Source organism: Homo sapiens, chromosome 17 (assembly GCF_000001405.40).
Source record: "Homo sapiens chromosome 17, GRCh38.p14 Primary Assembly".
Taxonomy (NCBI): domain Eukaryota; kingdom Metazoa; phylum Chordata; class Mammalia; order Primates; family Hominidae; genus Homo; species Homo sapiens.
Genome location: NC_000017.11, coordinates 7,130,958 through 7,143,610, shown reverse-complemented (window position 1 = coordinate 7,143,610; position 12,653 = coordinate 7,130,958). Strand labels below are relative to the sequence as shown.

At 50.7% G+C, this 12,653-nt stretch overlaps 2 long non-coding RNA genes and 1 pseudogene across 3 annotated transcripts, besides 2 other annotated features; 1 reads left to right on the top strand and 2 right to left on the bottom strand.

The window, feature by feature from the left end:
- Positions 1 to 986: 986 nt before the first annotated feature.
- LOC124903910 (uncharacterized) lies at positions 987 to 1,362 on the top strand. Its single transcript, XR_007065600.1, has 2 exons — positions 987 to 1,136; positions 1,168 to 1,362. It is a non-coding gene; the product is annotated as an uncharacterized LOC124903910 (long non-coding RNA).
- Positions 2,019 to 2,666, bottom strand: RPL7AP64 (ribosomal protein L7a pseudogene 64; annotated as a pseudogene).
- On the bottom strand, positions 2,848 to 12,364 carry LOC105371512 (uncharacterized). Of its 2 annotated transcripts, none has more exons than XR_934191.3 (3): positions 12,283 to 12,364; positions 5,813 to 6,373; positions 2,848 to 2,933 (listed from the first exon to the last, which is right to left on the bottom strand). It is a non-coding gene; the product is annotated as an uncharacterized LOC105371512 (long non-coding RNA). The 2 variants fall into 2 exon arrangements; XR_934190.3 differs by lacking the exon at positions 2,848 to 2,933 and adding an exon at positions 3,100 to 3,186.
- Positions 9,876 to 9,985: an enhancer, noted in NCBI's record as "active region_11602". NCBI's record gives its function as "activates an Ori minimal core promoter by ATAC-STARR-seq in GM12878 lymphoblastoid cells {active_cell/tissue: GM12878}" and the evidence as "EXISTENCE:reporter gene assay evidence [ECO:0000049][PMID:35858748]".
- Positions 12,116 to 12,653: an enhancer, noted in NCBI's record as "H3K27ac-H3K4me1 hESC enhancer chr17:7034277-7034814 (GRCh37/hg19 assembly coordinates)". NCBI's record gives its function as "activates a minimal SCP1, AML or CMV promoter by ChIP-STARR-seq in naive H9 embryonic stem cells {active_cell/tissue: H9 hESC(naive)}" and the evidence as "EXISTENCE:reporter gene assay evidence [ECO:0000049][PMID:30033119]".

Genomic DNA, 12,653 nt, shown 5'->3' with positions numbered 1-12,653 from the left:
CGCCATGTTGGCCAGGCTGGTCTCAAACCCCTGACCTCAGATGATCTGCCCACCTTGGCCTCCCAAAGTGCTGGAATTACAGGCTTGAGCTGTTGACTCCCTCTTGAGTTCCTTCCTGTGTAAAGCCAAGAACCCATGTGACCTCCTGGGCTGAGCCTCTAATTTTGGGGTCGCCCTGTGACAGGATTACAGGCATGTGCTACCACGCCTGGCTAATTTTTTTTTTTTGGAGGGAGAGGGGTCTCACTATGTTGCCCAGGCTGGTCTCGAGCTCCTGGGCTCAAGCCATTCTCCTGCCTCAGCCTCCCAAATTGCTGGGATTACTGGCAGGAGCCACTTTGATAGACCAGTATTTTTTTTGAAGGAGAATTAAAAAAAGAATTTATGTACAGAAAACTCAACAGTGGACGTTTAACCCAGTTTAGTGGCAAGTTCTTTAGCCTTTGCCTTTTGCAGTTTAGCAATGTCTGAGCCAGATTTTGGACCCAGGGCATTGCTGTAGCCACCCAACGGGTTCACCTTGCCTGCTGCCTAGACACAGCCGATTTATTAAGACAGGGAAATTGCAATGGAGAAAGAGCAATTCACGCAGAGCCGGCTGTGCGGGAGACCGGAGGCTTTTTCTTTTGAGATGGAGTTTCACTCTTGTTGCCCAGGCTGGAGTGCAATGGCGTGATCTCAGCTCACTGCAGCCTCCAACTCCCAGGTTCAAGAGATTCTCCTGCCTCAGCCTCTTGAGTGGCTGGGACTACAGGCGCGTGCCACCATGCCCAGCTAATTTTTGTATTTTTAGTAGAGACGGGGTTTCACCATGTTGGCCAGGATGGTCTCGATCTCTTGACCTCGTAATCCCCCCATCTCAGCCTCCCAAAGGGCTGTGATTACAGGCGTGAACCACCACGCGCGGCCTGTCAGGCCTCTGAGCCCAAGCTAAGGCATCACATCCCCTGTGACCTGCACGTATACATCCAGGTGGCCTGAAGCAACTGAAGATCCACAAAAAAAGTGAAAATAGCCTTAACTGATGACATTCCACCATTGTGATTTGTTTCTGCCCCACCCTGACTGATCAATGTGCTTTGCAATCTCTCCCAACCTTAAGAAGGTTCTTTGTAATCTCCCACAACCTTAAGAAGGTTCTTTGTAATCTCCCACAACCTTAAGAAGGTTCTTTGTAATTCTCCCCACCCATGTATACTTTGTGAGATCCACTCCCTGCCTGCAAAACATTGCTCCTAACTCCACCGCCTATCCCAACACCTGTAAGAGCTAGTGATAATCCCACCACTCTTTGCTGACTCTCTTTTCGGACTCAGCCCGCCTGCACGCAGGTGAAATAAATAGCCTTGTTGCTCACACAAAGCCTGTTCGGTGGGCTCTTCACTCGGACGCACGTGACACGGCCCAGAGTTTTACTATTTCTCAAATCAGTCTCCCAGCATTCAGAGATCAGAGTTTTTAAAGATAATTTGGCGGATAGGGGCTTGGGAAGTGAGGAGCGCTGACTGGTCAGGTTGGAGACGGAATCATAGGAGATCAAAGTGAGATTTTCTTGCTGTCTTCTGTTCCTGGGTGCGGTGGCAGAACTGGTTAGGTCAGATTATGAGTCTGGGTGGTGTCAGCTGATCTATCGAGTGCAGGGTCTGAAAAGTATCTCAAGTACTGATCTTAGGTTTTACAATAGTGATGTTATTCCCAGGAGCAATGTGGGGAAGTTCCGACTCTTAGAGTCAGAGTCTGCATGACCCCTAAACTACAATTTCTGATCTCGTAGCTAATCTGTTAGTCTTGCAAAGGCAGACTGGTCCCCAGGCAAGAAGAGTCTTTTCGGTTAAGGGCTATTATCAATTTTGTTTCAGAGTCAAACCACGAGCTGAATTCCTCCCCGAAGTTTGTTCAGCCCACGCCGAGGAATGGACAAGGACAGCTTAAAGGTTAGACGCAAGATGGAGTCGGTTAGGTCTGATTTCTTTCACTGTCATAATTTCCTCAGTTATAATTTTTGCAAAGGAGGTTCCATTGCCTCCCCAGTGACTGTGGATCTCGTCACACCTGCCATTGTAATCGGTCCTGATAGCTTCCGCCACCTTAGCCAGAGCTGCTTTGTCTTCCCAGTGAGCCTGTGTGAAGGTGACAGTCTTTTCTGGGGTCTTCCTGCAGACCAGGCATCTCCGTCCTGCCTTCCCCTGGATAACGCAGTAAGGGAACCCCACTGTAGGACACAGCGCAGACAGAGAGACAGCAAGCTCGACGAGAGTCACGTGCAGTCACCACCAGCTGAGGCTTCTTGTTCTCCACCAAGGTGCTGTCGGGGTTAACCCTGCTCGTGGGACAGTTGGGGTCTTCATGGAGATGCCCCCTTTGCCGGCAGCTTTCTTCTCTGCACGGGCCAATAGCCTCTGCTTCTTTTCTTGCCCTGTCTCTGGTCTGTACCATGGTCCAGCTGATGCAGTTGAGGAGCTGTTTTCTCGGTCCAAGGCCTGGATGAGTCGGTCACTTGCAGGAGGCACTTTCAGCTGCTCGTGGAGGTCAGCCGTTTGCCACTGCAACCAGATGTAGTTGGGCCATTCAACAATCAACAAAGCAGGTGAGGTCCCTTTTGGGCTGGATAGCCTGTTCAATGCCAGATTCTTAAGCCTTTTCTCAAATGCCGAAATTCTTTTTTTTTTTTTTTTTTTTTTGAGACGGAGTCTCACTCTGTTGCCCAGGCTGGAGTGCGGTGGCGCGATCTTGGCTCACTTCAACCTCTGCCTGCTGGGTTCAAGCAATGAGCAATGAGCCACTGTGCCCGGCCTCGACTGCCTTCTTATTTCTGCGATTGCCACCAGATGCTGCTGCTGCAAACAAGTCCCGCTCAGCCAGAGGCCACCCCTGCCGTGGCTGCGCTGTAGTCACCGTGGATCTGGCTATAGTTTGATGCAGTAATACGGGAGCTAAAAAGAAATTACTTAGGCAGTTGGTGAGGGTAAGAGAGTCCTCGGTAAGGCATCCCTTTTAACAAAAAGCAGCCCCCACATCATTTCTTTTCTAACAAAGAGCAGCCTGTAAAATCGAGCTGCAGACATTGACAGGCAAGCTGGAAGCTTGAACGGGTGAATGGCGGCAGCCGTGCCAATCGGAAAAGGCTACCTGGGGCCAGGCATGTTCAACATGGAGGCTTCATCTTCCCTTTTCCTTATCAACCACCTGTACAGTAAAGGAAGCAGCAACATGATGCCAACCAGGTAGAGAATCCATTTGCATAATAAAAGATTAGGGTGGGGCGGCCAGCTTCTTCTTGCACTATGTAAATGGCATACCTGGTCCCGCAATCTTTTGGGCTCTGTGTAAATCAGACACTGCCTGGCCGGGTGGGTGCGGCGGCTCTCGCCTATAATCCCAGCACTTTGGGAGGCTGAGCCGGGTGGATCACCTGATGTCAGGAGTTTGAGACCAGCCTGACCAACATGGTGAAACCCCGTCTCTACTAAAAATACAAAAATTAGCCGGGCGTGGTGTGCATGCCTGTAATTCCAGCTACTCGGGAGGCTGAGGCAGGAGAATCCCTTGAACCTGGGAGGCAGAGGTTGCGGTGAGCCGAGATCGTGCCACTGCACTCCAGCCTGGGCAACAAGAGCGAAACTCTGTCTCAAAAACAAAACAAAACAAAACAAGGCAAAACCTCCAAATCAGACACTGCCTCCTCAAGCTCACCTATAACACCCAGTGCATTTCACCTCGGAGCCAGAAGACCGACTTGGGAGCCCCTCCCTCTCTGCAGGAGAGAGAGCTTTTCTTTCTCTTGCCTATTAAACCTCTGCTCTTAAACTCACTCGTCGTGTGTGCCTGCATCCTCAATTTCCTTGGCATGAGACGATGAACCTTGGGTATTACCTCAGACAACGAGCTTCAAAAGCTTAATGGAACAGACCGTCTACCCCTGTTGTGCCCTGCTTAGCTCTGTCCCGGAAGCCACTAGGCACCTAGGCTGTGACAGTTTCAGTCTTTAACCCCCAATGACAGCTTGCTCAGGGCACACCCAGTCCCTCCTTAGTGCTGCTGAGCAACTGCACCGTGTCCTCGGGCTCCAGAGGAAAAAACACTTCAGTTCATAGCCCTGCTCAGCAGAGGTCCTCAAAGCACATCTTCTCAGCCTCTATCTGGTGAGGGGGCACCTTCAGCCTGTGCCAAACGCGGCTTCCCTCACAAACCCTACCAGGCCTTAGCACTGATACAGGATTCTAGGGACTGAATGTTTCTGTCCTCCCCACCCCGGATTCATAGGTGGAAGCCCTACTCCACAGTGTGATGATATTTGGAGGTGGGGCCTTTGGGAGATAATTACATTTAGATGAGGTTGTGAGGGTGGGGTCCCCACGATAGGATTTGTGCCCTTGTTGGAAGAGAAGGAGGCCAGAGTGTGCTCTCTCATCCACGTGAGGACACAGCAAGAAGGTGGCTGTCTGTAAACCAGGAAGTGAGCCCTCCCCAGACACTGGATCTGCCGGTACCTTCACCTTGGGCTTCCTAGCCTCCAGAACTGTGAGAAAGAAATGTTTTTTTTTTGTTTAAGCCATTCAGTCCGTGGTGTTTTGCAATGGCAGTGCAAGCTGACTAAGACACAGGGTCACTTGTTCTATTTCCTCTTCAGTCATGATGGGCTTCCCTCGGGCCCTTTGGTGCCTTTCCCCGTCAGTGGACTTCAGCTAGAGCCTCTGTTCATCACAGAGGTTCTAAGGACATTAGATCTCCAAAAGAAAGGGACTAGGGTCTCAAATTTCTTTGCTTCACAGAAGCTTTTTGGCCCCACCTTTCAGTGACCTGTCTGCAAACCAAAACTGGCAAAGAAGGGCAGTCTCCCCTGAGCCACTGGAGAAGTCCTGCCTCCCCTGCCTGGGGTAGGCGACGGCTGGCTTCCCACTTAAACAGTTAAGGGGAGCTGCTCAGTGCTTACAAAGTCATTTGCTAACTTGCCTAGACAAAGAAGTTATTAGTAACTTTTACATGTCAGCTTGGGTAAACAAAACAAGTTTAAGTTCCTGTAATCAGGCAGCATGTTTTTATTATTATTATTATTATTTTATTATTTGAGATGAAGTATTGCTCTGTCGCCCAGGCTGGAGTGCAGCGGTGCAATCTCGGCTCACCACAAGCTCCGCCTCTCAGGTGCACACCATTCTCCTGTCTCGGCCTCCGGAGTAGCTGGGACTACCGGCGTCCGCCACCACGCCCGGCTAATTTTTTTGTATTTTTAGTAGAGACGGGGTGTTTCACCGTGTTAGCCTGGATGGTCTCCATCTGCTGACTTCGTGATCTGCCCACCTCAGCCTCCCAAAGTGCTGGGATTACAGGCGTGAGCCACCGCGCCTGGCCACCATGTTTTATTATTAAAAGTTAATGGGGGCCGGGCATGGTGGCTCACGCCTGTAATCCCAGCACTTTGGGAGGTCGAAGCGGGCGCATCACCTGAGGTCAGGAGTTCGAGACCAGCCTGGCCAACGTGGTGAAACTCTGTCTCTACTAAAAACACCAAAATTAGCCGGGCATGGTGGTGGGTGCCTGTGGTCCCAGCTACTTGGAAGGCTGAGGGGGAAGAACTGCTTGCACTTGGAAAGCAGAGATTACAGTGAGCCAACATCGCGCCATTGCACTCCAGCCTGGGCGACAGAGTGAAACTCCATCTCAAAAACAAAACAAAAAAAGTTAATGGGAAGAAAAGCTATAGCCAGCAAAGGTCACAGGCAGGCTGGGTGGCTATGAGACCCCTCAGAGAGGCTGGGGCTGGGAAGGGGTGTAGGGAGGGTAGATTACATTCAGACTGACTCATGCTTACCTCAGGCTGTGAGATCCCAGCCCTCTGGGCAGATCCTGAGTCTGGAGCAGGCTTGGCTTATACCAGGTGGGGCTGGGAGACCCCTCCAGCAGGTCCCTGGAGGCCATGGCAGATGTAGCTGGGCCCAGAGCATTACATGCCATGAATGGGAGGAGAGCCGCCGTTCTGTTTGATTTTCTCTCAGCTCTCCTGTCCTTCTCAGCAAAATTAGTTTGAGCCTCTGCCTCAAAACTTGCAAAGTGAGGCTCTGAAACCCCGTCAGTGAAGATATGCTCGCATTTGGTCTTTAAGGAAATAGCTCTGAGGGACTCTCGAGGCAGTCTGTGAAGGAGGCAGGCTGCCAAGACACCGTAGGGTGATGCTGGGGGAAGAATCATCACTGGTAACCCCGATTGCAGGGAGCGGTGGTTGGCGGAATCCCCTGGCGGGAGGCGCTGTCTTCCCAGAGCAGGAGTACAGTGTCCTCTGGGTGGAGAGAACTCAGCAAGGCTGAGGGTGGGGTTGCTCAGCCTGTGCAGATTCCCTTACTTACTTGTCCCGTCTCCCCACTTCCTAATTTTACTATAAAAGAGGGAAGGAACACGAAAGTCTGTTAGGGCAGAGAGGCTGTGGATTGCATTTAGTGTATCAAGAGTAAAACTCAAGAAGCTCTTTTTCAAATAATCTTTTAAATTTGGGGCTTATAAATGCAATCGTCCTGGTTTCTGAACTCCATGTAATAGATCTGGGGATGAAACAGAAGCTATCACGGTCTCAGGCCAAGCTGCCTCAACACCTTTAGGGGCTTCGCAAGCCTTTTTCGACTCTAAGATGTGAACCAGAAAGTGTTTTTGTGATTCAGGCTAGGATGTCTTACCAGTTGGCAAAAGAAAGATAATAAGTAAGTGTAGCCAAATAGTTCTCAGGAGCTGAATAATTGAATACTCTTAGCTATGTAAGAATGATCTCTTTACTGTTTAATGTTTCACTTCAGCTACTTAGAAGTATAATGCAGATTGATTGACCTCAAGTGATCTTCCTGCCTCAGCCTCCCGAGTCGTTGGGAGTACAGGCGTGCAACACCAGTCCTGGCTAATTTTTAAATTTTTTGTAGAGACAGGGTCTTGCTATGTTGTCCAGGCTATGAAGGTAATTTTATATATTATCTTAAATGATTTTGTGCATGAAACAGTTTCGATGGCATTTTGACTGAAACCTGTCACATGAGGTCAGGTGTGACATTTTCCACTTGTGGCTCAGAAAATTTTGGATTTTGGTGCCTTTCGGATTTTGGATTTTGGGATTAGGGTCGCTCAACCTGTATTAAAAAATAGTTGGGGTGCAGGGGAGTCTCTCTTCTTTCAGACTGGCACCTGCAGCTGTGACCACACGGTGGCGCTGCTATCCTGATGTTGGGAACATAAGAGAAAAAAGAAAAAAACCCAACTTCCTAAGGGCGAAAGAGTAAACTAGAAATATGAAATGAGGTTTAATACTGATTGCAGTAATTTTTAAAACTTTGCCTTTTACATAAAAAATTGTGGTAAAATACACACCACATAAAATTTAACCGTTTTTAAGTATGCGTTTCTGTTGCACGCGGCACATTCATTGCTGTGCAACCATCCATGGAACTCTTTTCATCTTTTTTTTTTTTTTTTTGGAGAGAGAATCTCGCTTTGTCGCCAGGCTGGAGTGCAGTGGTGTGATCTCGGCTCACTGCAACCTCCGCTTCCTGGGTTCAAGCGATTCTCCTGCCTCAGCCTCCTGAGTAGCTGGGACTACAGGCGCCCGCCACCACGCCCAGCTAATTTTTGTATTTTTAGTAGAGACGTGGTTTCACCATGTTGGCCAGGAAGGATGGTCTGGATTTCTTGATCTCGTGATCCGCCCTCCTCGGCCTCCCAAAGTGCTGGGATTACCGGCGTGAGCCACCGCGCCCGGCCAGAACTCTTTTCATCTTGTGAAACTGAGACTCTAAATCCATGGAACAGCAACTCCCCATTCCCCGCCCACCAACCCCTCCCCCTGGCGACCACACCATTCTACTTTTTGTCTCTATGAATCTGACTACCTTAGGTAGTGGGATTATGCAATATTTGTCCCTGTGTGACTGGGTTATTTCACTCAGCATAATGTCTTCAAGGTTTATCCATGGTGTAGCATGTGTCAGAATTTCTTTATTTTTAGTTTTTGAGATGAGCCTGGCTCTGTCGCCCAGGCTGGAATGCAGTGCCTCAATCATGGCTCACTGCAGCCTTGAACTCCTGGGCTCAAAAGATCCGCGTCTCGCTCTTGTTGCCCTGGCTGGAGCGCAATGGCGCAATCTCGGCTCACTGCAACCTCCACCTCCCGGGTTCAAGCGATTCTCCTGCCTCAGCCTTCTGAGTAGCTGGAATTACAGGCGCCCGCCACCGTGCCCGGCTAATTTTTTTTTTTTGTATTTTTAGTGGAGATGGGGTTTCGCCATGTTGGCCAGGCTGATCTCGAACTCTTGACCTCAGGCGATCCACCCACCTCAACCTCCCAAAGTGCTGGGATTACAGGCGTGAGCCACGGCACCCGGCCCAGCTTTATTTATTTTTATAAATTTATGGGAAACAAGTGTAATTTTGTGACATGCATAGATTGTGGAGTGGTGAACTCAGGGCTTTTAGAATCTCCATCACCCAAACAAATGTACCTTGTACCCATTCGGTAACTCCTCATCATCCAGGAATATTTAATTTGAAATTAATTTTATATGAAAACAAACAAACATATTAGATCCTATATACTTGTGGCAAGTGGCTCTCCTGGAGTTTGCTGTCTTTTGACAGGCAGGTGTGTAGGTGGAAACTCTGGAGGGTGAGGTTCTGGACTGAGGCTCTTCCAGGGGTGGCTGAGGCACCATTTCTCCAGAAAACCCTCCCTGGACACCTTATTTCTGGGGTCCCACTCACTCCATGCTTGTGAACCTGTATATTTTCCTCTTATTTATTTATTTATGTTTTGAGATGGAGTTTCGCTCTTGTTGCCCAGGCTGGAGTGCAATGGTGTCATCTCGGCTCACCGCTAACTCAGCCTCCCGGGTTCAAGCCATTCTCCTGCCTCAGTCTCCAGAGTAGCTGGGACTACAGGTGTGCGCCACCATGCCCGATTAACTTTTTTGTATTTTTAGTAGAGACGGGGTTTCACCATGTTGGCCACGCTGGTCTCGATCTCCTGACCTCGCCATCTGCCCGCCTCAGCCTCCCAAGGTGCTGGGATTACAAGCATGAGCCACCGTGCCCAGCCTTATTTTCCTCCTAACTGTGCTGTTCCTGAAGGCAGGGTCCCTTCATTTCTGTGCTTCTGGCACAGGGAAGAGCTGCCACGCTATGGGCATATGGTGCCCCCCCACCCCCACCCCCCAGGACCCTCTGGTTGTGCTTGGCTTCAAAGAACCTTGTGATCTTGTCGAGAAGACAGAAAACCATTTGGTTCTGATACAGGAGTCGGGCAGGGAAGTGCTGGGGAGAGAAGGGCGGGTCTCTGGCTAGGGCTTCACCCCCGGGCCTGTGCCCACGGACCTCGGCAAGGACAGGCATTTCTGTTTTCATGCCCAAATGTTGCATTTCCCAAGACCATCCTGGCCTGCCACACCCGTATCCTGTGCCTATAAAAGCCCTGAGACCCTAGCGGGCAGACACAGAAGTGGCTGGACGTCGAGGGGAACGCACGGGCATAGGAGTACACTGACAGGTGGATGCCGGCAGGTCACTGACCAGCAGAACGATTTGCGGAGTATGGCCGAGGTGGTTGGAGGAGGCCCGGGCACTGGGTGGCCCGACTCCGGGCCGGGGGAAACCGCCTTCCCACTCCATCCCCCTTCTGGCCACCCCATCCACCTCGCTGAGAACTACCACTCCATAAAAAACCTTACACTCATTCTCCAAGCCCACATGTGATCCCATTCTTCCAGTACACCAAGGCAGGAACCCCAGGACACAGAAAGCCCTCTGTGCTTGTGATGAGGCAGAAGGTCTAATAGAGCTGATGAACACAAGCCGCCTACAGACGGCAAAACTGAAAGAGCCCCCGTCACACACGCCCACTGGGGCTTCAGGAGCTGTAAGCATTCACCCCCAGATGCTGCCGTGGGGTTGGAGCCCCACAAGCTGCCCGTCAGCAGGCTCCCCCTAGAGGTTTGAGCAGTGGGATTCTGAAAAAACGAGCTATTCCCGCTGTCACACGCCCTGCGACGGGGACAAGGGAACCTTTCCTGTTTCCGTTCCTGTTTCCAGTCCCCAGTGCCCTTGTGGTATTTCAAAAGCATGCATGTCGGCCGCGCACGGTGGCTCACGCCTGTAATCCTAGCACTTTGGGAGGCCAAGGCGGGCGGATTGCCTGAGCTCAGGAGTTGGAGACCAGCCTGGGCAACACGGTGAAACATCGTCTCTACTAAAATACAAAAAAAAAAAAAAAAAAAAAAAAAAAATTAGCCAGGCGTGGCGGCGAGCGCCTGTAGTCCCAGCGACTCGGGAGGCTGAGACAGGAGAATCGCTTGAACCTGGGAGGTGGAGGTTGCAGTGAGCCGAGATCGCGCCACTGCACTCCAGCCTGGCAACAGAGCCAGACTCCGTCTCCAAAAATAAAAATAAAAATAAAAATAATAAATAAATAAATAAATAAAATAGAAAGCATGCATGTCCTTTCAATGTAGAGTATCCACACCACAAAAAATCCTGGGTTACATGGATTTTATAAACCAGGCAGGGGGAACGAGGCCTCTAGCAACAAGACCACAACAAACATTGCAGATGCAGATAAATGCAGAACACGGTAGATTAGGGAGGCGTGATCCACTCCAGGGGCTTTCCGGGACTGATAGAACACTGCTTTACAAAACAAAGAGAAGCAGAGTTTAGAAACCTGCAGGGTGTCACTGCTCGCAGGAAACACCAGTCCTTATGAGCTGTTGCAAAAGCTGGGGACTTTCTGGTGTTTGAGCTGCTGATTTCATGGTTTTAAATGGGGCTTCTTGTACCTCACCCTGCCTTTCCAGTGCACCCAGTGGAGACGGAGGGACAGTGGCCCTGGGGGCCAATGACTTGAGAAGGAGACACAGATCTGAGGCCAGCATAGCCAGGGGTCAGGGGTCAGGGACCAGCTGGGCAGGAGCAGGGATGTGTCTTCAGGACAATGGGGCTCATGGGATTGGGGTCAATGTGTGTGAGTGTGTGTTCCTGCCTGGATTGTTTATTCAGCTTCTGCCCTGGCATCTCACCTTAGGGTCTAACAGGGACCTCAAACACAAACACCGTCTATCCCAAATTGAGCTCTTTTTAGTTCCTCTTTTTCTTTTCTTTTCTTTCTTTCTTTCTTTCTTTTTTTTTTTTTTTTTTGAGATGGAGTTTTGCTCTTGTTGCCCAGGCTAGAGTGCAATAACGTGATCTCAGCTCACTGCAACCTCCGCCTCCTGGGTTCAAGGGATTCTCCTGCCTCAGCCTCCCGAGTAACTGGGATTACGGGCACGTGCCACCACGCCCGGCTAATTTTATATTTTTAGTAGAGATGGAGTTTCACCATGTTGGCCAGGCTGGTCTCGAACTCCTGACCTCAAGTGATCTGCCTCCCTGGGCCTCCCAAAGTGCCGGGATTACAGGCATGACCCACCGCGCCCGGCCCTTTCAGTTCCTCTTTCTACATTGCGCGTTTAACCCATTCCTGCCCCCTCTTCCCGCTCAGTTAACCCTGCTGTCACTTTCTCAGCAGCATACAAAGCTTCTTCAGGAAGCCTTCCTTTCCTCGCCCACAGGCCCTCCCCAGCCAGTGCTGAGTTGATGGTTCTTCCTCCAAGATTCACTATCTACCCTTTTGTTTTTTGAGACGGAGACTTCGCTCTTGGCGCCCAGGCTGGAGTGCAGTGGTACAATCTTGGCTCACTGCAACCTCCGCCTCCCGGGTTCAAGCGATTCTCCTGCCTCAGCCTCCTGTGTAGCTGTGATTACAGGCGCCTGCCACCATGCCCAGCTAATTTTTTTTTTTTTTTGTATTTTTAGTAGAGATGGGGTTTCTCCATGTTGGCCAGGCTGGTCTTGAACTCCTGACCTCAGAGGATCCACCCACCTCAGCCTCCCAAAGTGCTGGGGTTACAGGCGTGAGCCACCGCACCCTGACATGATCTGCTTTTAATCTGACATCTTCTCACTGTTGTCACAGCCACCTCCAGTCCCAAACACCATCGTCATCTCTCTTTTGGGACTTTGGCAACAACATCCCCTGCCAACTCTCACCCCTAAAGGTTCATCCTCATACAGCAGCCTGAAGGTGACTTTAAAAAATGTAATCAGGCTATGTGTCGCCTTGTTTAACTCATCAATAATTCCCTATTTCACAGAGAAGAAAACTCTTCCGGCCTTCCATGCCCTGGAGGTCCCCGTGATCCAGCCCCTGCCTCCCTCTCTGGCCCCATCCTCTGCCTCCTCTGCTTTCACTCACTGGCCTGCTCCCTCTTCCCCAGCACATACCTGCTGTGTAATATGTGAGTGAATGAGCCAGAGACAGGCAGAGAGAGAGCCTGTGGAGGAGGGAACAGCCGAAGTACGGAATGAGGCAGATAAACACAGGAAGACAGAGACCAGGGGAAGTGGAAACAGATGGCAGAGAGGCCAGGGAATTCTCTCGTGATTTGGGGAACCCCACTTTCTCCAGGGTCCCACCCCTTGTCTTTGTTAGAATTGGGCCTGGGACAGGCTGCTAGTGGGGTTGGGGCTGATGGAGGTGTGGGAGCCGGGAGCTGGGTTCAGGACTGAGTTCTGGACCAGGCTGGAGATGGGCCGGGGTAGGAACTGGGAATTCGTCCCTTCCCAGGAGTTGGCTCTCCTGGGCTCCGCATTTT